Below are 27149 nucleotides of genomic sequence, written 5' to 3' on the forward strand. Positions count from 1 at the left end.
ACTCTGATAATCTCTGTCCTTTAGTTGGTGCATTTAGACCATTGATGTGCAAAGGGACTATTGATATAGTTAGATTAATAGCTACCGTATTTGTTATTGCTTTCTATTTGTTGCCCTTGTTTTTTGCTCCTGTTTTTATATTGCACAGTTTTTCTGCCTTTTGTGGTTTTAATTTAGCATTTTATGATTCCATTTTTCTCCCTTGTTAGCACATTGATTATACTTCTTTTTCTACTTTTTTAGTGGTTGCCCTAGAGTTTGCAGTGTCCGTTTACAACCAATCCAAGTCCACTTTCAAATACTACTGTACCACTTCACAGATAGTGCAAATGCCTAACAATAACAAAATGTTCCTAATTCTTCCCTCCCACCCATAGTATCATTGCTATCATTCATTTCACTCATGCATAAGCATATACAGAATGTGTGTATTTTTTCAAATACATTGTTTCTATTATTATTTTGAATAATGTTCTCTGTTAGGCCAATTAAGGATAAGAAAAGTAAGCTTTCATTTTACCTTTACTTGTTCCTTCTCTGACACTTTTTCTTTCCATATATAGATTTGAGTTTCTGAACTATAATATTTTCCTTCTCTCTGAAGAACTTTTGTTTTAACATGTCTTGCAAGGCAGGTTTACTGGCAACAAATTCCTTCAATTTTTCTATGTCTGAGAAAACCTTTATTTCTGCTTCAGTTTTAAAGAGTAATTTCATAAGGCATAGCAGTATAGATTGGTGGTTTCTTTCACTCAGTGCTTTAAATACATTACTCCACTTTCTTCTTGCTTGCATGGTTTCTGAGGACAAGTCAAATGTGGTTCTTATCCTTGCTCCTATCCAGGTAGAGGTAAGGTATTTTTTTCCTCTGGATTCTTTCAATATATTTTCTTTATCTTTGATTTTCTGTAGTTTGAAAATGATGTGCTTAGATATAGTTTTTTGGCATTTACACTGCCTGATGTTCTCTGAGCTTCCTGCACCTGTGTTTTGGAGTCTAAAAATAATTCGAGAAGATTCTCAGCCATTACTTCTTGAAATAGTTCTTCTGTTCCTTCCTCTCTGTCTTCTTTTTCTAGTATTCCTATCATGCATATGTTATACCTTTTGTAGTTAGCCCATAGTTCTTAGATATTCTGGGTTTTTTCTTTTTCCAGTACTTTTTCTTTGCTCTTCAGTTTTGGAAGTTTGTACTGTTATAGCCTCAAATTTAGAGATTTTTTTTCACTATGGTCAGTCTACTAATAAGCCCATCATCAAAGGCATTCTTCATTTCTACCATAACGTTTTCGATCTCTAATATTTCTTTTTGACTCTTTCTTAGAATTTCCATCTTTCTGCTTACATTACCCATCTGTTATTGGATGTTGTCTACTATTTCCATTAAAGCCTTTAGCATATTAATCATAGTTATTTTCAAATTTGTGGTCTGATCATTCCAATGTTCCTGCCATATCTGGGTCTGGTTCTGGTTCTGATGCTTGTTCAGTCTTTTCAAACTGTGTTATTTGCCTTTAAATATGCCTTATTTTTTGTTGCTAGGCTGATATAACGTACTGGGTTAAAGAAACTGCAGTAAATAGGTCTTTAGTAATGTAGTGGTAAGGTACAGGTAGAGAAGAAATATTCTACAATCCTGTGATAAGATCTCAGTCTTTTGGTGAGTCTATACTCTGGACTGTGAACGTAGCCAGTGCTTCTCAGTTTTTTCCCCATTAGGTAGAGCAAGATGGGTGGAGGGGGCTGGAGTTGAGTATTTCCCTTCCTATAGAAAGATGAGGCTCTGACATAAGCCCAGTAGGTCAAGCTCTGGTAAAATAGTTTCTCCTGCAGGAAAGCCTTGTTAAGAAGAATAAAATGCTTTAGCATATTTCAGAATGGTTCGTTTTTCCCTCCTTGTGACAGATTCATGTGTGGATTTTTCTCTGATATTCACTGTGAGGACCTGGTAGAGCTCCTGGTGGTAAAACTCACCAAAATGTGAGGGCCTCCCTTATGACTAGAGTTTCTATGTCCCTCCAGAGTTTTTATCTCTCAGTCTTGTCCACACTGAACCTCCATACTTCATCAATTATAGTTTAGATTTTCCTACCCTGGTACTTGTTCCAGTGGAAGTTTCTACTGCACAACCACTGACTGTCATCACCCTTCTTATTGATCTATGTAAACAAGGAAAATATTTCAAAACAATTGTGTAATAATCCTCATTTTTTCCTTTAAAAACCTTTGTCTTTCTTTGCCTCCCTGAATGTGTACATAGTTTATTATGGCATGGGTATTCCCACTGCAATGCTTTATTCCAAAATAAATACATTTTCTTTTAGAGAGCCTGTTTGTTATTTAGGTTGACAAAAATTAAAAGAATATATTTGAATATATGTGAACATCATATAAATATAATATTAATAAAACTGTTTTTCATGCTAAGGCAGTTTGATTTTCAAAATTTTATTGCAATAACCTTTTATTTATTTTACATTTATCTTAATAATTGTGTCGTGATAGCTATCATATAAAGTGGAAGAAGAGATAGTAAAGGAAAAAATTATAGAATTTTTTTTTTTTTGAAATGGAGTTTCACTCTTGTTGCCCAGGCTGGAGTGCAATGGTGTGATCTCGGCTCACCACAACCTCTGCCTCCCGGGTTCAAGTGATTCTCGTGCCTCAGCCTCCCAAGTAGCTGGAATTACAGGCGCCTGCCACCAAACCCGGCTAATTTTTGTATTTTTAGTAGAGACGGGGTTTCTCCATGTTGATCAGGCTGGTCTCGAACTCCTGACCTCAGGTGATCCACCCACCTCAGCCTCCCAAAGTGCTGGGATTACAGGCATAAGCCACCAAGCCCAGCCAAAATTATAGAATTTTAGAAACAAAATACCACATACTATTTATAGTTCCAATCTTTCATCAGGATGCTAGTTCCAAGATTTATCATAGCTTGAGGAGGAAAAGAAAGCTTTTTGAGAAAAAAGAAAATAGAGGAAAAGCACTGTAGACTATTTCCAAGGAGATCTGCTTTTAACTATAACAGGTATCGAGATTTTCAGAACACTATTCTCACAGTCAAGACTGAAGTCTATTTATCCAGTTGCAATAACCTGTACCGACAGATCATGCTAACTTTAGCACTTGTGAGAGAAGGGAGAATGAGGCCACCAATGCACTTATTCTCGCAGTTGGACTTGGGTGCTCCATCAGTCCTAATCAGTGCCTTCACAGGAGAGGCACTGCTGAGGCTGGATAAATAAAGGACCCATGAAAAAGTTGCCATTAAGAAAACAAACCAGTTTTCAATCACTGAATTGTGTCATGACTTTTTGTGCCTTTTCAGATTTCTTTATAAGTAAAATCATAAATATGTAAAAAACACATTTATAAGCATTAAATTTTTAATTTCAATTCATTTAAGTGAATAGCTGAGTGACTAAACAAAAACAAAGTTTTGGTACTCGCAAGACTTCTGACACCAAATGTATGGGTTTTCTACCAAAGACTCCAGTTCTCCACAGAGACCAACTGGGTATCTGACAATTTAATTCCATTCTCACACTAACTACCTGGAGTCAGCACAGAGCCCACACACTAAGGGCTCAGTCCCACAAAACTGCCCACCACCATCAGATGCTAAGCATATGTATTATAATAGATTCTCAGGTTAACCACACTTTTGTCCAGCTTGGCTACAAATCAAGAGTTTTCACAAATCCTTCATCAATAATTTGCTATAATTGCTCAAAGAACTCAGGAAAACACTTTACTTGCAATTACCAGTTTATTGCAAAGGCTATTATAAAGGATACATATGAACAACCAGATGAAGGGGTACATAGGGTGAGGTCTGGAAGAGTCCTGAGCATCAGAGCTTCTGTCCCCATGGAATTTGAGGTGCACCGTGCTCCCAACATGTGAATGTATTCACCAACCCAGAAGCTCTCCAAACCCCATAGCATAGGATTTTTATAAAGGCCCCATTAAATAGGTATGATGGATCAAATCATTGATCATTGGTGATTAATTCAATCTCCTGCCCTTCTTTCCTCCCTGGAATTGGTGTTAAAAGTTCTAATCCTCTAATCACATGGTTGGTTATCCTGGCAACTAGCCCCCATCCTCCAAGAGTCACCTCACTAGCATAAATTCAGGGGTGGTTGAAAGGTGCTTATTATAAATAACAAAATATATGCTCCTCTTACGTCTATCATTCAGGAAATTCCAAGAGTTTTAGGAGCTCTATGCCAGGAACCAGAGGCAAAGACTGAATATATATTTTTTGTTATGTCACAGTAACCTTGGAAAATTACTTAATTTCTTATGCCTTGATTTCCTTATTTATCTGTATTATCCCACAAGGTAGCTGATTTGATTTAGTAAGTTACTATAAGTGTTAAACACAGCTCCTGGCACATAGTAGGTGCCATAGAAGTGTTGGCTATTATTATTATAACTCTGTTAAAGTTTACAACTGGTGTATTACAAACTGTTGGTTTATATATGTCTTCTTTAGACAGGAGTTTCCAGAGGATAAAGATTAATTCAACATATTGTTGACAAGATAAATTATGCTTATATAAGAGTCTTTTTGCTTGTAAATCTGTTTGATAGAGGAAGTATAAAACCCAAAATATGTGTACTAAGTGATGTGCTTGTGGAAAATTAAGCCTAATTTGCAACTAACTACAAAATATTTTTAAAGCATCTTAAAGTAGCTGAAGCACCCTCTATATATTGTAGATAGTAATAATTAGAATAACCCAATTACAAAGCTAACATTTATGGAGTCTTAATGTATATTATGTACACTACCAGGAGACTCTTATTAGTATTTCTTTATAGATAAACTACTTCAACTACTTTATATAATTTTATTTTAAAAAACAAGACAGGGATTATCAGATCTATTTTTTAATGATGAAATCAATAAGTAACAGAATTACTAGGAAGTGGCAGATGTGTGTGTGATTCAAGATATGTTATCATGTGATTCAAACCTAATATTTTTCATCATTCTATATTAATTTTCTCATTGTACAAATTTAAAGAATTACTGTTTAAGGGTCAACATTAATGAGGTTGCATTTTTTTTATCTCTTAGTCAGCTGTGTCTAACTTGCTTAATTGTGCATAGATTTTTAAATGCTTAACTCGTAAAACATTTTAACTTTAATATTAAGATTTCGAAAATTAGTTCAATTAACTCACAAGTGAGTTTTTAAAATTATGTTAGGAGCTATAACAAAATATATTTGAGTAAGGGAGAAAGAGGAAAGCAAAACACTTAACTACAAGAGGATTACATGAAGCCTTTCAGAAGCACAGCAAACAGAATAAAAACTGGGAATTTATGTTAACTTTCTAAATTAAGTTTCCAGTTTAAAAAATGAAGAAGGACGGTGGCTCACGCCTGTAATCCCAGCACTTTGGGAGGCCGAGCCGGGCGGATCACGAGGTCAGGAGATCGAGACCATCCTGGCTAACACGGTGAAACCCCGTCTCTACTAAAAATACAAAAAAATTAGCCGGGCGTGGTGGCGGGCGCCTGTAGTCCCAGCTACTTGGGAGGTTGAGACAGGAGAATGGCGTGAACCTGGGAGGTGGAGGCTGCAGTGAGCTGAGATCATGCCACTGCACTCCAGCCTGGGCAACAGAGTGAGACTCTGTCTCAAAAAAAAAAAAAAAAAAAAAAAAAAAAAAAAAAAAAAAAAAAAAAAAAAAAATGAAGGAGGAGGAAAGTACCTGGCTTCAATGAGTAATAGGACATTTCCATGGAACAAATTTGTTATTCAGTATCAAAATAGGTACAGGCATATTTGTTTCTCCTGAAGGGGCATTAAAATACAACTCACTCAATGTGGGGTCTCCCTGAGTATTTGGGCTGCTTGTGCCATGGTGTCTGTGATGGCTGCTGTTAGTCATGCAGAGCTAGGGGCCACCTTCCCTAGAAGCGGTGCACAGTATTATTTCCTCAGAAGTTCTCTCAGACACTTTATTGTTTTATTCCATCCCTGTATCAACCTATTTAACACTTCAGCAGGACCTGGTGCATGTGGATTGATACTAGCAGGGTAGTATCACAGCCTTTCTATCCTGAACGTTTTGTTCCTTAGATGCCAGAGAAATGTTTAGCATTGGAATTCTGAAGGCTTGAGGAGTGAAAGAGGTGACATGCTGACTCTCAGAACAGTTTTGAGAATGATGGTTCTCTGCTTTATATCTCCAACTGGAATAATGCTGTTGGTGAGAGAAAGAAAACAGCACTTAGTCAGGTTTGAGAAAGCTTTTCATGCCACAATTCCAGATGCCCCACAGATTGCAGAAGCCTTTCTTCAAGGATTTTATGTGTATTCAGGGTGGGGAGTCCTTGTTTGAATAGCAGGTAAAATTTATTTATTTAATTATAAAAACCACCACTAAGCTATAAACATGTAACAACCAAGTACTTTAATTCTTAGAAAAAAAAAAACAGTATGTTGCTTTGATATGATGTGTTAAGCTTTTACTTTATTAGAGGGCTGAAATGCAATAAGCTCTCTACACGTGTGGCCTACCAACTTTGGAGGGTAAAATATCTTTCAGGTATTTACAATTAAAACAAGTGCACATAAATCTGGAGCAGCTTAAAGACTCCAAGGCAATTGCATTTTTTTCACTGAACAAAATAGTGTATCAGTCTGTTTTTTTTAATTATAATAGAACATCACCAGAGAAAAAATTTAAAATGCAGAAAATATGAATTAAAATAAAGATTACTTTTAACCAATTATCTCACATGTACACACCTATGGCAGGGGAATCACACTGCACATATAACCTTATAACTTTATTTTACTTAAAGTACCTTGATATGATTTGCCTGTGTCCCCACCCAAATCTCATCTTGAATCTCCACATGTTGTGGGGGGTACCAAGTGGGAGGTAATTGAATCATGGGGGCAGGTCTTTCCTGTTCTTTTCTTGCAATAGTGAATAAGTCTCACAAGATCTGATGGTTTTATAAAGGGAGTTTCCCTGCACAAGCTCTATCTGCCTGCTGCCATCCATGTAAGATGTGACTTGCTCCTCCTTGCCTTCCACCATGATTGTGAGACTTCCCAACCACATGGAACTGTGAGTTCTCCATTAAACCTCTTTCCTTTGTAAATTTCCCAGCCTTGGGTATGTCTTTATCAGGAGCATGAAAACAAACTAATAGATGCCTAGTGAGAATTTACAGATATTATTAAATATAACTGGGTCTTAAGAAAACACAGTATTCTATCATATGAATATTTACCATTATTTAACCATTTTCTCCATTGTTGGATCCTAGAGTTGTTTCCAGTTTTTCTCTTTTAAATGTAACACTTATTGTTGCAATTAGCATCCTTCTACATAAATCTTGGTTGGATCACTCATTGCTCTATTAGAAAAAAAATCTTGAAGTAAAATTACTTAAAAAAGGATAAAAACATTAAGAAATGTCTTGAGAAATATTGTCCAAGTTGCCTTCCAGAAAGGTTCTACAAATATACCTTAGTGTGACTACCCTTGGCATTATCATACCTTTCTTATTCTTTTGCCACTTAGATTTATGAAGATTAAATCTCAGTGTTATATCCCACTTTTTCTCCTATTACTAAAGAAAGGGGAGAGTTTTGCAAATGATCACAATCATTTATACTTCTTTCTTGTAGGATGGGAGGCAAGTATTTTTTCCCAGCTGGTTCTTCAATTTTTAATTTCATTCATGAGATTTCTAAGACTTAATATCTATAGTATCAAACTATTGATCTTTTAATTTTTCTCTGTTTTTATACTTAAAAAGTCTTTTCCCATCTCAAGATTTAGATAAATATATATACTTTTTTATATAAATACTTTTTCTCTATATTATTATGGTCTTACTTTTTGCATTTTACTCTTTAATGCATGTGAATTACTTTGAAGGGGTTGTATATAATTTTTTATTTTCCAAATAGTTAAATACCCATGTCAGTTTTGGTGTTGGCAATATATGCTCAAGTTTAATCCAAGGCTTAACTAGTCTAGACACTTAATCCAACAAGTTAAAAGAACAGGAGTCTAGACACTTAATCCAATGAGTTAAAAGAACAGGAGAGTCTACCTGAATGCCCTAGAATATTGTGACCAGATTAAGAGATAAGCTATTTTAACTCTTCATTAACACAGTTACCATTCTACCATGTCAGCCACAGGGTAGGGCAGGGTTAGCTCCCGTTATGTTCTAGAGTTCAAGGTTTATGACCTATACTCTTCTTAACCCAAAGGCCCATTTTAAGTATCTCAGAGTATAACATTGAGACCCCAGAATTTAACTCAATTATGATACAACTGTCAGAGGCGGGTGAACCAGAGCAACTCCATCTTGAATAGGAGCTGGGTAAAACAAGACTAAAACCTACTGGGCTGCATTCCCAGATGGTTAAGGCATTCTAAGTCACAGGATGAGATAGGAGGTCTGCACGAGATACAGGTCATAAAGACCTTATTGATAAAGCAGATTGCAGTAAAGAAGTCAGCTAAAACCCACCAAAACCAAGATAGCCATGAGAGTGACCTCTGGTCATCCTCACTGCTACACTCCCACCAGTGCCATGACAGTTTACAAATGCCATGGCAACATCAGGAAGTTACCCTAAGTGGTCTAAAAAGGGGAGGCATGAATAACCCACTTGTTGTTTAGCATGTAATCAAGAAATAACCATAAAAATGGGCAATCAGCAGCTCTCCAGGCTGCTCTATGGTGTAACCATTCTTTTATTCTACTTTCTTAATGAACTTGCTTTCATTTCATGGACTTGCCCTGAATTCTTTCTTGTGCAAGATCCAAGAACCCTCTCTTGGGGTCTGGATTGGACCCCTTTCCTGTAACACAACTAGAGTCAACAATGTGCCAGAGACATGGTAAACATTCAACAAAAATGAACAAATGAGCTCTTGTTGTTTGCAGACTCATTTATTTTTCTTATTATATATTATAGTGAAGGCACTTTCAAAGGTTACATAGAAAGCCTTTTTTTCTCAGGAGATCTGAAAAAGCCTAGTGAAAATATCCCCAAATGTGTAATTACTGCACCTACCCCTGTGGCACTGATTTACTTATTGGTTAAAACGTCCTACCTAATAGTCCGGACTCCAGAGGGAATCGGGTTCTCAGGTATGGCTACATAGAACCAGAGAGAAGATTCTTTCTTATTCCCCTAAATGAAGGGGGTCTCTAATACAGTGGATCTTTTTGCCTACCTTAAGAGAATTATGCTAAACTGGTTCATGTCTGGGTTATTTACTTATTTAAAGATAAAAATTTAAAAGGACTAAGCAATCTCTAATTATGAACATATGCTAAAATTATAGGTAATAATAAAGTCCAGCTGCAGAAATATAGAAAGCACCAAAAATTGGAAAAGGAAAAAAATAAACAGAATACAATAGATTAAATAGGACATAATAGAATTAAAATTCTAAGAATATTTACCAAAATCCCTTGGGACATACTTTTCAAGGACATCATGGGTGCTTTAGGTTAACATCTACCCCCCAGAAAATGTCACTCATATGCTTTGTCTCCTGGCACATGCCCAAAATCTATAAGGAATAGCCACTTCAAGTACTCAATTTCCCTATTACTGAATGTATGGATCTGATATGGTTTGGCTGTGTCCCTACCCAAATCTCATCTTGAATTATAGCTCCCATAATTCCCACATGTTGTGAGAGGGACACAGTAGGAGATCACTGAATCATGACCCCCATACTGTTCTCATGGTAGTGAATAACTCTCACGATATCGACGATTTTATAAGAGGTTTTCCCTTTCACTTGGCTCTCATTCTCTCTTGTCTGCCACAACATAAGATGTGCCTTTTGCCTTCCACTATGATTGTGAAGCCTCCCCAGCCAGGTGGAACTGTGAGTCCATTAAACTTGTTTTTCTTTATAAATTACCCAGTGTCAGGTATGTCTTTATCAGCAGCATGAAAACGAATTAATACAGAACCTTTCTGCAATATTTATCCATATGTATATAATTTCAGTTCACAATAAATTTTTCAGATTTTCAGAATTTGTTTTAATTACTGTCATATAGGTAAAGAAACTAAATTTTTTGCCCTAAAAATAGGCAAATTTTAAAAGCTTCAGTTCTGCATTGAACTTTATTTATCTAGGCAAATATATTAAGAATACCTTTTTTTTACATTTTACATTTCCAGTTATAAAAAGTTCCTAAATATAAAAGAGAATCCATAATATCATTAAAAAATAAAACAGTAAAAAAGAAAATAAGATTTTATACTATATATCAAAGGTTACTGATTCTCAGTTATCTCAACTCTAAAATAAAATGATGTCTTATTAGCTCACCTCACACATTATTAGTAATGATAATAAAATGAAAAAAATCTGTGAAGGTACTCTGGAAATCTTAAAACACACAAATTCTGTTCTGAGAAGAGCATGGCTTAATAAAAACAGCCACAACACCATTTCAAAAATTGTCTTTGAACTAATATACAAAAGCTACAAGGAACTCAAACAAAAACAAGAAAAAAACAACCCCATTTTTTAAAAATGAGCAAAGGACATGAACAGACATTTCTCAAAATAAAACATGCAAGTAGCCAACAAACATGAAAAAATGCTCATTAAAAAGTAGGCAAAGGACATTAACAGACCCTTTTCAAAAGAAGACATTTATACAGCCAACAAACATGATAAAAAGCTCAAAACCACTAATTATTAGAGAAATGCAAATTAAAACCACAACGAAATACCATCTCACACTAGTCAGAATGGCAATTATTAAAAAGTCAAGAAACAATAGATGCTGATGAGGCTGTAGAGAAATAGGAATGCTTTTACATTGTTGGTGGGAATGTAAATTAGTTCAACCATTGTGGAAGACAGTGTAGCAATTCCTGAAAGACCTAGGGGCAGAAATACCATTGGACTCAGTAATCCCATTATTGGATATATACCCAAAGGAATATAAATCATTCTATTTTAAAGATACAGGCATGCATATGTTCACTGCAGCACTATTCACAATAGCAAAGACATGGAATCAACCCAAATGTCCACTGATGATAGACTGGATGAAGAAAATGTGGTACATATACACCATGGAATACTACGCAAAAGGAATAAGATCATGTCCCTTCCAGGGACACGGACTGAGCTAGAAGCCATCATCCTCAGCAAACTAACACAGGAACAGAAACCAAATACCACATGTTCTCACTTATAAGTGGGAGCTGAACAATGAGAACACATGGACACAGGACAGAAACAACACACACTGGGGCCTGTTGGGGGGTCTTGAAGGGAGGGAGAGCATCAGGATAAATAGCTAATGCATGTGGAGCTTAATACCTGGGTGATGGGTTGATAGGTGCAGCAAACCACCATGGCACACATTTACCTATGTAACAAACCTGCATGTCCTGCGTGTGTATCCCAGAATTTAAAATTAAATTAAATTAAATTTAAAGAAGAAGAAATTCATCAGATGGACAAACCGTAAGTTCAGAAATCTATATTTTTGGAAGCAGATAAGAAAGATGTTGCATTCTGAATTATTTGTGCCCTGATAACTATGTCCTTAATATGGGAGAAACAAAATCTAAAAAAAAAAGTCCCAGAGCGTAGGGAAATACTAGCCCATCTGGATGATCCCTCCTCACCAGAAACTCTAGTAAATGGCTGGTCCAGGAAAAATTTGCTTGTTTCAAAAATGAGTAATTAATCAAAAAAGAACAATCCCAAAATCTGTGTAAGACATTCTACAGAAACAGGAGAAATGAAATAAGAAGAAATGGCTGACCAATAAAATGCATTAGAAAATGTGACCTTGGATTCACCACGAATGTTAAAAATCTTATGCTGCAATCAAGTCTATGACATGTGAGCACAAAGCAGAGTTGCAGGAGTTCAGAGGAGATATGTCAACACCACAGAAAGAAATAAAATGTAAGCTGGCAAAATTCAGGGAAAAGTGAAATAGAAATATAAAAATGTATCGAATTAAGGTAAAATCAGGAGACACATTGGAACGTTGCTAAACAAAGTAGGGAATAGGGAATATTTAAAAACAATCAAATGGTAACAAGAATTTGAGAAAAAAATTCTAATTTCCATTAATAGCAGGCTCAGTTATTCAAATCAACTCTCCCATTGAAAATATCTAAGCATGATATCTAAAATAAAGAATAAAACAAAAAAAATAAAATATTGACAATCTGTGGCCGGGTGCGGTGGCTCACGCCTGTAATCCCAGCACTTTGGGAGGCCAGGGCAGGTGGATCACTTTAGGTCAGGAGTTCAAGACCAGCCTGGCCAACATGGTGAAACCCCACCTCTACTAAAAATACAAAAATTAGCTGGGCATGGTGGCATGCACCTGTAGGCCCAGCTATTCGGGAGGCTGAGGCAGGAGAATTGCTTGAACCCGGGAGACAGAGGTTGCAGTGAGCCAAGTTCACACCACTGCACTTCAGCCTGGGCAACAGAGCAAGACTGTCTCAAAAAATATAAAATAAAGGCCAGGTGCGGTGGCTCACGCCTGTAATCCCAGCACTTTGGGAGGCCATGGCGGGTGATCACAAGATCAGGAGTTTAAGACCAGCCTGGCCAACACAGAGAAACCCCGTCTCTACTAAAAATACAAAAATTAGCCAGGCACGGTGGCAGAAGCTTGTAATCCCAGCTACTCAGGAGGCTGAGGCAGGAGAATCGCTTAAATCCGGGAGGCGGAGGTTGCAGTGAGCTGAGATGGCGCCACTGCACCCTATCCTGGGTGACAGAGTGAGATTCCGTCTCAAAAAAAAAATAAATATATATATATATGTAAATAAAAATAAAATATTGACAGTCTTAAAGAATTATGGAAAGTCCCAAGCCTTTTTTTTTTTTTTTTTTTTGAGACGGGGTCTGGATCTGTCACCCAGGCTGGAGTGCAGTGGCACGATCCTGGCTCACTGCAACCTCCGCCTCCCAGGTTCAAGCAATTCTCCTGACTCAGCCTCCTGAGTAACTGGGATTACAGGCCCGCACCACCATGCCCGGTTAATTTTGTATTTTTAGTACAGATGGGGTTTCACCATGTTGACCAGGCTGCTCTCAAATTCTAATTTCCATTAATAGCAGGCTCAGTTATTCAGATCAACTCTCCCATTGAAAATATCTAGGCATGATATCTAAAATAAAGATTAAAACAAAAAAAAAATTAAAATATTGACAATCTTTGGCAGGGCGCAGTGGCTCATGCCTGTAATCCCAACACATTGGAAGGCTGAGGCAGGCAGATTGCTTGAGGTCAGGAGTTTGAGAGCAGCCTGGCCAACATGGCGAAACGCTGTCTCTACTAAAAATACAAAAATTAGCTGGGTGTGGTGGTGCACGCCTATAATCCCAGCTACTCTGGAGGCTGAGGCAGGAAAATCGCTTGAACCTGGGAGGCAGAGGTTGCAGTGAGCCAAGATTCTGCCACTGAACTCCAGCCTGAGTGACAGAGCAAGATTCCATCTCAAAACAACAACAGCAAAAAAGAATGTTGAATATAGGCCCCCAATCTCTTCTGGTTTGTAGGGTTTAGCCTGGTGGAGTTCCCTTTGTAAGTGATCTGCCCTTTCTCTCTAGCTGCCTTTACCATTTTCTTTCATTTCAACCTTGGAAAATCTGAAGGTTATGCGTCTTGGGGATGATCTTTTTGTGTAAAATCTTGCAGAGGTTCTCTGTGTTTCCTAAATTTGACTGCTGGCCTCTCTAGAAAGGGTGGGGACATTTTCGTGGATGATATCCTGAAATATGTTTTCCAAGTTCCTTGCTTTCCCCTCCTTCCTTTCAGGGATGCCAGTGATTCATGAATTTGGCCCCTTTACATAATCCCTTATTTCTTGGAGGTTTTGTTCATTCCTTTCCATTCTTTCTTTTTGTCTGACTGTCTTATTTTAGAGAGCCAGTCTTCAAGTTCTGAGATTCTTTCTTCAATTTGGTCTATTCTGCTGTTAATACTTGTGATTGCATTGTGAAATTCTTGTAGTGTGTTTTTCAGTTCTGTCACATCTGTTAGGTTCTTTTTTACACTGGCTATTTCATCTTTCAGCTACTGTATCATTTTATTGTGATTCTTAGTTTCCTTGGATTGGGTTTTGCCATTTTCCTGAATCTCAATGATCTTCATTCCTATCCATATTCTAATTCTATTTATGTCACTTCAGTAATTAAGGCTACTTTAACAAGATTCTAAGCAGCAGAATGAGGCCGTATTGACCTCAAGCATGTTCCTTCTTCTCCCTCATCACCACCAACACACACATCAGAGTCCCAGACCCAACTAGATGAAAAAAAATTCCATAAACTATTAGGACTAGTTTTTAAAACTAGGTAGCTTTCCTCTTAAGTGTTTAAGTGACATTTCTAATTGATCTGAGACTTTAACTTAAGTACAACAGAATGTATGTATTATAATTACACTGACTCTGTATAATTAATAATCTCTTGTCAGATGGATAGTTTGAAAATAAATAGAATATATAATGAAGTCTAACAATTCAATAGCAAACACACAGACAAACACACAAATAATTCAATCTAAAAATGGGCAAAAGATCTGAATAGACATTTCTCAAAAGAAGGCATACAAATGAAAAACAGATATATGAAAAAAATGCCCAACATCACTATTCATTATAGAAATGCAAATCATACCACAACAAGATACCATCTCACATCAGTTAGAATGGCTTTTATTTAAAAAAAATAAAAAGATTATATCAGATGCTGGCAAGAATGTGGAGAAATGGAAACCCCCACACACTTTTGATGGAAAGGTAGATTAGTACTGCCACTATGGAAAACAGTATGAAGGTTCCTCAAAAAACTAAAAATAGAACTACTGTATGATCCAGTAATTCCACTACTGGGTATATGTCTGAAAGGAAATCAATATATTGAAGAGATATCTGCACTCCCATGTTTATTGCAACAATATTCACAATAGCTGAAATATGGAAGCAGCCTACATTTCTATCAATAGATGAATGGATAAATAAAAATGTAACATATATGCACAATGGAATATATTATTTAGCCTTAAAAAAGAATGAAATCATGTCATTTGTAGCAACATGGATGGAACTGGAGATCATTATGTTAAGTGAAATAAGCAAAGCACAGAAAGACAAACATTGCATATTCTCACTCATAATAAAGTGGATCTCATAATGATAGAGTATACTGGTGGTTACCAGAGGCCAAGAAGGGGCTGGAGTAGGTGACAATAAGGAGAGGTTGATGAATGGGTACACACTATATATACACACACACACTATATATATATATATATATTCACACACACTATATATATACACACACTATATATATATATATATACATACACTATATATATATAAAACCTGGTGTTTGATATATCAAAAGGGTTACTATAGCTCACATTAATTGATTGTACATTTCAAAATACCTAGAAGAGAATAATTTGTATCTTCTTAGCATAAAAAAGATAAATAGTTAAGAAAATTGATATCCCAATTACCTTGACTTGATTATATGAATGTATCAACTTATCAAATGTACTGAAAAATATGTACAACTATTATGTATCAATAAAAAATTTTTAAAAGAAAAACAACAGAGAAAATGAACGAAACCAAAAGTTGATTCTTTGAAAAGATCAACAAAATTGATAAACATGTAGCTAGATAGAGTAAGAAAAAAGAAGATTCAAATTACTAAAATCAGAAATGAAAGTAGAGACATTATTAGATTCTATAGAAATAAATAGGAGTATAAGAAAGTATTACAAACAACTCTATGCCAATAAATCAGATCACCTAAATGAAATGGGCAAATTCCTAGACACATAAAACCTACTAAGACTAAATAATGAAGAGCTAGAAAATCTAAGTAGACCTATAACTAATAAGGAGATTGCATCAGCAATAAAAAATCTGACAAAGAAAAGCACTGGGCCTGATGGTTCCACTGATGAATTCTACTAAACATTTAAAAAAGAGCTAATCCAATCCCTCTAAAACTTTTCAAAAAAAATGGAAAAGGAAGGAACACTTCCTAACATTATCATTCTATGAAGTCAACATTACCCTGATACCAAGCCAAAGTCATTACAAAAAAAGAAAAACTATAGGCCAATATTCCTTATGAAGATAGGTGCAAAAATCCTAAACAAAATACTAGCAAACTGAATTAAGCATCATATTAAAAGAATTATATGCCATGACCAAATGTGATTTATTCCTGAAATTCAAGGAGGATTCAATATATTAAAATTAATATAATGTACTACATTAACAGTATGAAGGAAAAAATCAAATGATAATCTCAATTGATGCCAAAAAAATTGACAAAATTCAATAATCTTTCATGAAAAGAATTCTCAACAAATTAGGTATCGATTGAATGAACTTCAACACAATAAAGGCCATATAGCACAACTTCACAGATAAAACTGCACTTGATGGTGAATAGTTGAAAGCCTTTCCTCTAAGATCAGAAACAAGTTAAGGATACCCACTCTCATCACTTGTATTCAATATAGTATTTGAAGCTCTGGCCAGAATAATTAGGCAAGAAAAAGAAATAAAAGGAATTTGAACTTAAAAGAAAGAAGTAAAATTATCCTTTTCACAGAGGATATAATCTTAGATAAAGAAAATCCTAAAGACACACACACACAAAAATGGCTAGAACTAATAAATGAATTCAGCAAAGTAACAAGATACAAAGTCAATGCTCAAACATATGTTGCATTTTTATACGCTAATAAAGAACAATCTGAAAAGGAAATTATTAAAATAATTTCATCTATACCACCAGCAAAAAGAATACATTATTTAGGAATTAATTTAACCAAGAAGGTGAAAGACTTGCACGATGAAAACTACAAAACGTTGAAAGAAGTTAAAGAAAACATAAGTAAATGGAACTGTACCCCTTGCTCATTAATTGGAAGACTTAATATTGTTAAGATGTCAAATACTACCCAAAGAGATCCACAGATTCAGTACAATCTCTATCAAAAGCCCAATGACATTTTTTAAACAAATTTAAAAAATCTAAAATATATATGGAATCTCACGGAACTCCAAATAGCTAAATCAATCTTGAAAAAGAAGAACAAAGCTGGAGGGCTCACACTTCCTGATTTCAAAACATACTGCAAAGCTCAAGTAATCAAAACAGTGTTTTACTGGCATAAGGACAAACATATAGACCAATGGAATAGAATAGAGAACCTCAAAATAAGCCCTTGCATATACCATTGACGCTTGAGCAACACAGGAGTTATGGGTGCTGACTCCCAAACAGTTGAAAATCCACATATAACTTTTTAATCCCCCAAAACTTAACTGCTAATAGCCTTGCCAATAACACAAATAGTGTATTAATATATATTTTGTATATTACATGTATTGCATACTGTATTCTTACAGTACAGTAAGCTAGATAAAAAATGTTATTACGAAAATCTAATGGAAGAGAAAATATGTATACGATTCATTAAGCAGAAGTAAAAGGGGTAGATTATGAGAGATTACTTAATGGATGCAATGTATGTTATTCAAGTATTGGATACCCTAAAAACCCCAACTTCACCACTGCGAAATCAATCTATGTATGTAACAAAATTACATTTGCGGCCCGTAAATTTATACAAACAAGACAAATAAAAATAAATAATTAAAATTGAGCTGGATTCCTTTTCTGTTCCAGAAAAAATGATTAGCTAATCATGTATTTTAAAATTCTTAAGAATAAAACTAGAGACAAAGAAATCATGTTAAAGTGGCAGTAAAGTGCCAATAAGTTTTAAAAATTTGTTTCCACTTTTGTTTTTAAAAAAGAGATTTTTTTTTTAACTTTTAGGTTTAGAGGTACATGTGCAGGTTTGTTTTATAGGTAAACTGCATGTCATGGGTATTTGGTGTACAGACTATTTTGTCACCTGGGTAAGAAGCATAGTGCCCGATAGGTAGTTTTTCAATCCTCACCTTCCCCCAACCCTCCATCCTTAAGTAGGCCCCAGTATCTGTTGTTCCTCTCTTTGTGTCCATGTGTACTCATTGTTTAGTTCCCACTTATAAGTGAGAACATGCAGTATTTGGTATTCTGTTCCTGTGTTAGTTTGCTTACGATAATGACCTCCAGCTCCCTCCACTTTGCTGCAAAGGACAGGATCAGGCCAGGTGTGGTGGCTCATGCCTGTAATCCCAGCACTTTGGGAGGCCAAGGTGGGTGGATCACCTGAGGTCAAGAGTTTGAGACCAGTCTGACCAACATGGCGAAACCTCGTCTCTACTAAAAATACAAAAATTAGCCAGGCATGGTGGTGTGCACCTGTAATACCAGCTACACGGGAGGCTGAGGCAGGACAATCGCTTGAACCCAGGAGGCAGAGGTTGCAGTGAGCCGAGATCTGGCCACTGCACTCCAGCCTGGGAGACAGAGGAAGACTCAGTTTCAAAAAAAAAAAAAAAAAAAAAAAAAAAAGAGAGGCACGATCTGATTCTTTGAAAAAGAAATATTTTTGAAAGGAAATTTTGTGAGTAAATAAATTTGCTGTAATAGAAAATTTTTTCATATTTATAAAAGTTTATTCCTATAGTGTTAATTTTTCCATTTATTTGTCTATAATAATATAATTATAATAATTACAGTTTTTAAATATTTTATGTATTTGATATGGTTAATTGCCTTCTTTATTTTTCATCAAAATACAATTTTTGAAATGACATATATTTTGAAATAATATTTTCAAGTTCCAGGAAAGCTTCTGTTGGGACTTTTATTGTGATTGAATGAAATGTGAGGTAAGTTTTAGGACAATTGATATGGTTACAATCATGATGGTCTGAGTATCATTTCTAGACAATAGCAGGAATACTTTTAATGTTTTATTGGGTAACACTGCTGTAGGATTTTCAAAGGTACCCTTTATTAAGTTACAATTGCTCCACCTTTTCCTAGCTTGTTAACTACTTTTTTAATCATGAAAAATTACTTTTAGTACTTCATTGAAATGACCATATTATTTATTTTAATTAATCAATTAATTTAGGATTTCTTTTATTCTTCCCCTTTTTTATTTCCTTGAAAGTTTATTGATTTTCAGTATTTAATGCTGTTGTTATTCTTGTTATGTAATGCATTTATTTAAAGTTCTAAATTTTCCCTTACGAATTTTTTTTTGCCAACTTCCACAAATTTTGGAGTGGGTTAACAGATTTTTTAATTGTCTTGTTAATGTTTAATATTTGTATATATTTATGGAGTACATATGCTATTTTGTTACATGCATAAAATGAGTAATGATCAAGTCAAGATATTAGGGGTATCTACCACCCGAAGTATTTCTTATTTCTATGTGTTGAGAAAGTTTAAGTCCTCTCTTCTAGCTATTTTGAAAGATACACTACAGGCCGAGCGTGGCGTCTCACGCCTGTAATCCCAGCACTTCGGGAGGCTGAGGTGGGTGGATCACTTGAGGCCAGGAATTCGAGACCAGCCTGGACAACATGGCGAAACCCTGTCTCCACTAAAAATACAAAAATTAGTTGGACGTGGTGGCACGCGCCTGTAATCCCAGCTACTCAGGAGGCTGAGGTAGGAGAATACTTGAACCCAGGAGGTGGAGGTTGCAGTGAGCCAAGATCTCCCCACTGCACTCCAGCCTGGGAGACAGAGCAAAACTCTGTCTCAAAAAGAAAGAAAGAAAAAGAAACATACACTACATTGTTGTTACCTCTAGGCATCCTATTCTGCTATCGAACATTAGAACTTATTTCTCCTAACTGTATGTTTGTGCTCATTAACCAATCTCTCTTCATCCATCCTCCCCAACCCACACACCCTTCCCATCCTGTTATCTATCATTCTACTTTCTACCTCTATCTCCATGGGATCAACTGTTATAGCTCCCACATATGAGTGAGAACATGTGATATTTCTCAATCTGTGCAGAGCTTATTTCACTTAACATAATAACCTCCAGATCCATCCGTGTTTCTGCAAATGACAAGATCTCATTTTTTATGGCCAACTAGTAATCCATTGTGTTTATATACCACATTTTCTTTATGCATTCATCTGTTGATGGACATTTAGGTTGACTCAATATCTTTGCTTTTGTGAATAGTGCCACAATGAACATGAGAGTGCAGGTATCCCTGTGATATAATGATTTCTTTTCCTATAGATAATTACCCAGTAGGGGAATTGCTGGATCATACAGTAGTTTTATTTTTAGTTTTATGAGAATTCTCCATACTGTTTTCCATAGTGGCCCCATTAATTTACATTCCAACCTATAGTGTATAAGAGTTCCCTTTTCTCCATATTCTTGCCAGAATCTGTTACCTTTTCTCTTTTTTAATAAAAGCAATTCTAACTGGGTAAGATGGTATCTCATTCTGATTTTGATTTGCATTTCCCTGATGATTAACGACAAGCATTTTTTTCATATACCTGTTGATCATTAGTATGTCTTCTTTCTAAAAATGTCCATTTGTGTTCTTTGCCCACTTTTCAATGGAATTTTTTTTTTTTACTGTTGAGTTGTTTGAGTTCCTTGCATATTTTAGATATTCATCCCTTGTTGGATAAATAGTTTACAAATATTTTCTTCCATTCAGCAGATATCCTAAGTCTTGATGGTTTTCTTTGCTGTACAGTTTTTTCAATTTTAACATAGTCTCATTTCTCTATTTCTGTTTTTGTTATCTATGCTTTTCCTGTCTTAGCCATAAAATCTTTGCCTAGACAAATGTTCTGAAATATTTTCCCCATTTTCTTCTAGTAGCTTTATAATTCGAGGTCTTACATTTAAATTTATAATCCATCTTGAGCTGCTTTTTATATATGGTGAGAGACAGTAGTCCAATTTCATTCTTCTGCATGGATATCCAATTTTTCCAGCACCATTTATTAAAGATGATATCTTCTCTACAATGTATGTTCCTGGCACTTTTGTCAAAAATCAGTTGGTTTTAAGTATGCAGGTTTATTTCTGGGCTCTCTATTCTGCTCTATCAGTCAATGTGTCTGTTATAATACCAATGCCATGCTGTTTTGGTTACCATAGCTGTGTAATATGGTTTGAAGTCAGGTAGTGTGATGCCTTCAGCTTTATTCTTTTTGCTCAGGATTACTTTGGTTATTCAAGCCCTTTGTTGATTCTATACACCAATTTTATGATTCTTTTTTCTATTTCTGTGAAAATTGACGTTGGCATTTTGATAGAAATTGCATTGAATTTGTAGATTGCTTTGGGCAGTATGGTCGTTTTGCCAAGGTTGATTCTTCTGATACATGAGCTTGAGATGGCTTTCTGTTTGACTGTGTCCTCTTCAATTTCCCTCATCAGTCTTTTGTAGCTTTTCTTGCAGAGAAAAGCTGCCTTTCACATCCTTGGCTAAATTTATTTCTAAGTCTTTTATTTTTATAGCTATTGCAAATGGGATTGCCTTCTTGGTTTCTTTATCAGCTTGTTCATTATTAGTGTATAGAAATGCTACATTTGTGTATGTTAAAATTCTATGCTGCAACTTTCCTGAATTTATTTATCAGATCTAAGAGTTTTTTGGTAGAGTCCTTAAGTTTCTCTAGATATAAGATTATGCCATTTGCAAACAGGGACGATTTGACTTTCTCTTTTCCAATTTCAATGTCTTTTTATTTCTTTATATTGCCGATTGGTCTAGCTATAATTTCCAGTAGTATGTCAAATAAGAGTGCTGAAAGTGGGCACACTTGTCTTGTTCCAGTTCTTAGAGGAAAGGATTTCAACTTTTTCCCATTCAGGATGATGTTAGCTGTGAGTTTTTCATATACGGCCTTTATTATATTGAAGTATGTTCTTTCTATGCCTAGTTTGTTGAGAGTTTGTATCATGAAAAGACTGAGTTTCATCTAATGCGTTTTCTGCATCTACTGAGATGATCTTATGGATTTTGTCCTTCATTCTGTTGATATGATGTATCACATGTGTTCATTTACATATATTGAACAATTCCTGCATCCCTGGAATAAATCCCACTTGATTATCTAGTATCTGTTTGATGTGCTGTTGGATTCAGTTTTCATTGAGGATTTCATTGAGGATTTTTGCATCTGTTCATCAGGGATGTTGGCCTGTAGTTTTCTTTATTTTTTGCATCCCTGTCTAGTTTTGGTATCAATGTAATGCTGGCCTTGTAGAATGAGTTAGGGAGAATTCCCTCATGTTCAATTTTTTTAATAGCTTGAAGAGAATTGGCTTTGGTTCTTCTTTGAAAAATTGGTGGGAGTCAGCATGAAGCCATCCAGTCCTGGAGTTTTTTTGTTGGAAGACTTTTTATTACTGATTCTAGCTACTAATTATTGGTCTGTTTAGGTTTTCTATTTCTTCCTGGTTTAACCTTGGTAGATTGTATGTATCAAGGAATTCACCCATTTCCTTTAGGGTTTCCAGTTCATTACCATACAGTTGTTCATAATTGTCTCTGACACTCTTTTGTATTTCTGTGGCATCAGTTTTAATGCCTTCTTCTTCATTTCTTATTTTGTTTACTGGGATCTTCTTTTTTTCTTGGTTAGTCTAGCTAGTGAATTTTGTTTGTTATCAATTTTGCTCATCATTTTTTTAAAAAAAACATTTTGTTTTGTTGATCCTTTGTATTTTTTTAAGCTTCTATTTCATTTAGCTCTGCTCTGATCTTCATGATTTCTTTTCTTCTGCTAATTTTGGGTTGGGATTCTTCTTGCTTTTCTAGTTCCTTGAGGTGTAACATTAAATTGTTTATTTGAAATCTTTCTACTTTTTTGATAAAGGCATTAATTACTATAAGCTTCCCAGTTAGCATTGCTTTTGCTGTACCCCAGAGGTGTTGGTATGTTGTGTTTTGGTTCTTACTGGTCTAAAAAATTTTTTGATTTCCTCTTTAATTTCTTTCTTGCTCAATAATTTGGGAGCATGTTCTTTAATTTCCATATATTTGTGCAGTTTCTAAAGTTCCTCTTGTAATTGATTTCTGGTTTTGTTTCAATGGAGTCTGAGAAGACACTTAGCATTATTTATTTTTAAAAATTTTGTTGAGCCATTTTTGGTGTCCTAACATGTAGTCTGTCCTGGAGAATGTTCCCTATGTTGATGAGAAAAATGTGCGTTCTCTAGCTCTTGGATGAAATTTTCTGCAAATTTCTGTTAGATCCATTGGGTATAAAGTGCAGTTTAAATTAAATGTTTTTTGTTTGTTTGTTTGTTTTCTGTCTAGATGATCTATGTAATACTGAGAATGGGGTGCTTAAATCCCCAACTATTATCCTGTTGGAATCTCTCTCTCTCTCTTTAAATCTAATAATATTTGCTTTATACATCTGGGTGCCTAGGTGTAGAGTGCATATATGTTTAGAATTGTTATATCCTCTTGCTGAATTGATTTTTTTTTTTTTTTTTTGAGACAGTCTAACTCTGTCGCCCAGGCTGGAGTGCAGTGGTGCGATCTCAGTTCACTGCAACCTCCACCTCCCGGGTTCAAGTGATTCTCCTGTCTCAGCCTCCTGAGTAGCTGGGATTACAGGCACACGCAGCCAGCCCCTGCTAATTTTTTGCATTTTAGTAGAGACGGGGTTTCACCGTGTTACCGAGGCTGGTCTCAAACTCCTGAGCTCAGGCAATTCACCCGCCTCGGCCTCCCAAAGTGCTAGGATTACAGGCATGAGCCACTGTGCCCGATCCCTTTATCATTACATAGTGACCTTTCTTGTCTCTTTTTTACTATTTTTAACTTACAGTCTATTGTATCTAATATTCATATAGCTATTCCTGCTGGCTTTTGGTTTCCATTTGCATAAAATATCTTTTTTCTTCCCTTTACTTTCAGTCCATATGTGTCTTTACAAGTGTGATGAGTTTCTTCTAAGCAGACTATTGTTGGGTCATTTTTTAATCCATTAATTCAAGCTATATCTTCCAGGTGGAAAATTTATTCCATTTGCATAAGGTCATGATTGATACGTGAGGGCTTATTCCTGTCATTTTATTAATCCATTTCTGGTTATTTTTGTGTATTCCTTGTTCCTTTCCTTCTCTATCATTGTTTATGATTGTGGTTTGGTGGTTTTCTGTAATGGTAACATTTGAGTCCTTTCTCTTTCTTGTGTGTTTGATCTACCAGTGGACTTTATATTTTTGTGTGTTTTCATGCTGGTAAATATTGTCCTTTTGTTTCCATATGTAAGACTCTCATGAGCATTTTTATAGGTCCAGTCGACTGGTGATGAATTCTTTTGCTTTTGCTTATCTTGGAAAGACTTTATTTTTCCTTGGTTTATGAAGGATAACTTTGTTGAGTACTTGGCTGGCTGTTTTTTCTTTCAGCACTTTGAATTTATCATACCATTCTCTGCCGGCTTGTAAAGTTTTTGGTGAGAAATCCACTGTTAGTTTGTTGAGGGTTCCCTTATAAATGACTAGATGTTTTTCTCTTGCTGTTTTTAGAATTCTTTGTCTTTGACTTTTATCAGTTTGACTACAATGGGCCATAAAGGAGACTTTTTCTTTTCTTTTCTTTTTTGCGAAAGAAGACATGCAAGCAGCCAAGAAACATATTTTTAAATGCTCAACATCACTAATAATCAGAGAGATGTAAATCAAAACTATAATAAGATATCATCTCACAGCAGTCAGAGTGGGTTTTATTAAAAAGTCAGAAAATATGAGATGTTAGTGAGGTTGCAGAGAAAAAGTAATGCTTACACACCATCAGTGGGAATGCAAATTGCAGCCACTGTGGAAAGCAGTTTGGAGATTTCACAAAGAACTAAAAATAGAATTACCGTTCAATCCAGGAATCCCATGACCAGGTATCTAGCCAAAGAAAAATAAATTGTTTTACCAAAAAGACACCCGCATTCATATGTTTATTGCAGCACAGTAGCAAAGGCATGGAATGAGCCCTGATGCCCATCAATGATAGACTGGATAAAGAAAATGTGGCACATATACACCAACATGCAGCCATAAAAAAGAACAAAATCATGTCCTTTGCAGCAATATGGATGCAGCTGAAGGTCATTATCCTAAGTGAATTAACACAGAAACAGAAAACCAAATACCATATGTTCTCACTTCCAAGTGGCAGCTAAACACTGGATACACATGAACACAAAGATGGGAACAATAGACACTGGGGACTCCAAAAGGGGGAAGGCAAGAGTTGAATAACTACCTATCAAGCGCTATATTTACTATTTGGGTTACAGGATCATTAGAAGCCACAACCTCAGCATCGTGCAATATACTTATGTAACAAACCTGCACATGTACCCCCGAATCTAAAATAAAAAGTGAGATGAAATTTTTTTTAAAAGAAAACCTTTTTGCATTGTATCTGTTTGGGAACCTTTGGCCTCCTGTGCCTGGGTGTCTAAATCTCTTGCTAGACTTGGGAAGTTTTCATATAGTATTTTGTTGAACCATTTTTCCAACTCTATTGTTTTCTCTTTGCCTTCTGAGACTCCAAAATTTTGAATATTTGGTCACTTTATGGTGTCCTACATGTCATGTGGGTTTTGCTCATTTTTTAAAACATCTTTTTTATTTTTGTCTATATGAGTTATTTCAAAAGGAAATAGTCCACTTCAAATGGACTACTGCACCATTTGCTCCGTTTTAAAATATTACTATGCCTTAGGAAGCAATCTAGCCAGGAGGGTTATTTGACCTCACACAGGTATTGCTTTCCCACCTGTAATGCCATTCATCCAGAACTCCCCCTAACCCAGCAAGACTCTATTCAGTCATCAATCACTTCTTTTAGAAAACGTACCCACTACCCATATCACTCTAGAGTTGGTTTCGATGCCCTTGTGTTATTCTTAGCATTCGTCATACTGTATGGCAATTCTGTTTCCTCTATGGGGCTGCGAATGTTTCCAGGAACAAGAATAGGCTTCATCTTTTTCTTCCTCATACAGGGAAGTGACTGACATACAGTAAGGCATCCCACAAATTGTTCAATGAATCAACAGGAGGTGCAATGGCCAGAGGAACAATTTATACGTATGTAAGGCTATGTAAAGGCACGTAAAGCCAAACCGCTGTGAAAACCGCCTTCAGAAGTCAGTCGGCTACTAGGCAAATATACAGAAGCACACAGGACAAATCCATTCATTCTCCAGCTCCTACACGCCCGGGAAGCAGTTTTACTTTACAGCAAGTTCAAGAGTCGCACCGCAGATGCTGTAAAAACGAAAGAAGCCCACAGTTGGGACGAGGATTCCAGTTTTGCGTCACCGTCAAGGCGGGAAAGTTCCCGGCTGTCGGTTGGAGGGTGGGTCCTCGCCCCGCCCCGCCCCCTCGGGCCGCCCTTCCGCGCTTCCGGGAGGCTTGTCCCAAGCTCACGGACCCCTCGCTGGGTGCCGGTTAAGACCCCGCTCCCCGTCGCCAGTGCTATGGAGGCGGCGGCGGCGGTGGTGGCGGCAGAGGCGGAAGTGGAAAACGAAGACGGCGACAGCAGCTGCGGGGATGTATGCTTCATGGACAAAGGCTTGCAGAGGTAAAGGGCGCTCCGCAGCCAGGAGCGACCCGCGCACTCCCCAGAGCCGGGGCCACGAGTGGCTGGCGGCGACACCAGAGTGGAGGCGCGGCACTGCTTTACCAAGACCATAAGTGAACGCAGTCTGGCTTTCGGCCTCCCCGCTCCTCCAAAACTTACCTGCCGAAGTGCCAGGTTGAATGAGCCGTGGATGCCTTCCCGCCCGTGTCTCCTGCCCAGCGTTTCACACGACTCTGCTTAGCCTAGAAACTGCCCCAGGACCTTGTCCTCCACCAGCTTCTGACCACTCTTTCCTTCTGCTGGTTTTCCTTACTTACTGGTGGTTATTCCTTTGCTTGCCGTTTAATTGCTGGTTTTCTCGTGTTCTCTCGTCTTTCCTGTTCTTACCTCTGAAAAAAACCTGCAGGATAGTATCTCTGGCAGCTATGAGCGGGCAGTCGCTGCTGCCTGTTAGTTTTGCCTCAGTTCTCCTTGTCTGCATTCGAAATCATTTGTCCGTTACAGAACATTGCAATACATATATTCATATACTTTTTGAAAGTACTAAACTTACTATATTTAGTTCATCGTTTCCCTCTCTCT

At 36.4% G+C, this 27149-nt stretch overlaps 1 protein-coding gene, 1 long non-coding RNA gene and 1 pseudogene across 18 annotated transcripts in view, besides 1 other annotated feature; 2 read left to right on the top strand and 1 right to left on the bottom strand.

Moving 5' to 3' along the window:
• Positions 5783 to 6354, top strand: LOC100422614 (solute carrier family 7 member 13 pseudogene; annotated as a pseudogene).
• On the bottom strand, positions 5970 to 27030 carry LOC105375933 (uncharacterized). 4 transcript variants are annotated; one of them, XR_929117.3, is made up of 3 exons: positions 26727 to 27030; positions 7271 to 7396; positions 5970 to 6228 (listed from the first exon to the last, which is right to left on the bottom strand). It is a non-coding gene; the product is annotated as an uncharacterized LOC105375933 (long non-coding RNA). The 4 variants fall into 4 exon arrangements; XR_929118.3 differs by having other exon boundaries at positions 26885 to 26945; XR_929119.3 differs by lacking the exon at positions 26727 to 27030 and adding an exon at positions 26244 to 26321.
• Positions 26406 to 27149, top strand: part of LRRCC1 (leucine rich repeat and coiled-coil centrosomal protein 1) — a 38843-nt gene continuing 38099 nt past the window's right edge. For 13 of the 14 annotated variants that reach the window (XM_017013921.2, XM_017013920.2, XM_017013922.2 and 10 more), the window contains exon 1: positions 26406 to 26567. In XM_017013921.2, coding sequence (XP_016869410.1) covers positions 26464 to 26567 — 104 coding nt within the window. In that variant the 5' untranslated portion in view covers positions 26406 to 26463. Of the gene's footprint in view, positions 26887 to 27149 lie in introns of all 14 variants that reach the window. The other variant, NM_001349637.2, reaches the window with a different exon arrangement.
• Positions 26518 to 26577: an enhancer, noted in NCBI's record as "active region_27589". NCBI's record gives its function as "activates an Ori minimal core promoter by ATAC-STARR-seq in GM12878 lymphoblastoid cells {active_cell/tissue: GM12878}" and the evidence as "EXISTENCE:reporter gene assay evidence [ECO:0000049][PMID:35858748]".

This window comes from Homo sapiens, chromosome 8 (assembly GCF_000001405.40).
Source record: "Homo sapiens chromosome 8, GRCh38.p14 Primary Assembly".
Taxonomy (NCBI): Eukaryota; Metazoa; Chordata; class Mammalia; order Primates; family Hominidae; genus Homo; species Homo sapiens.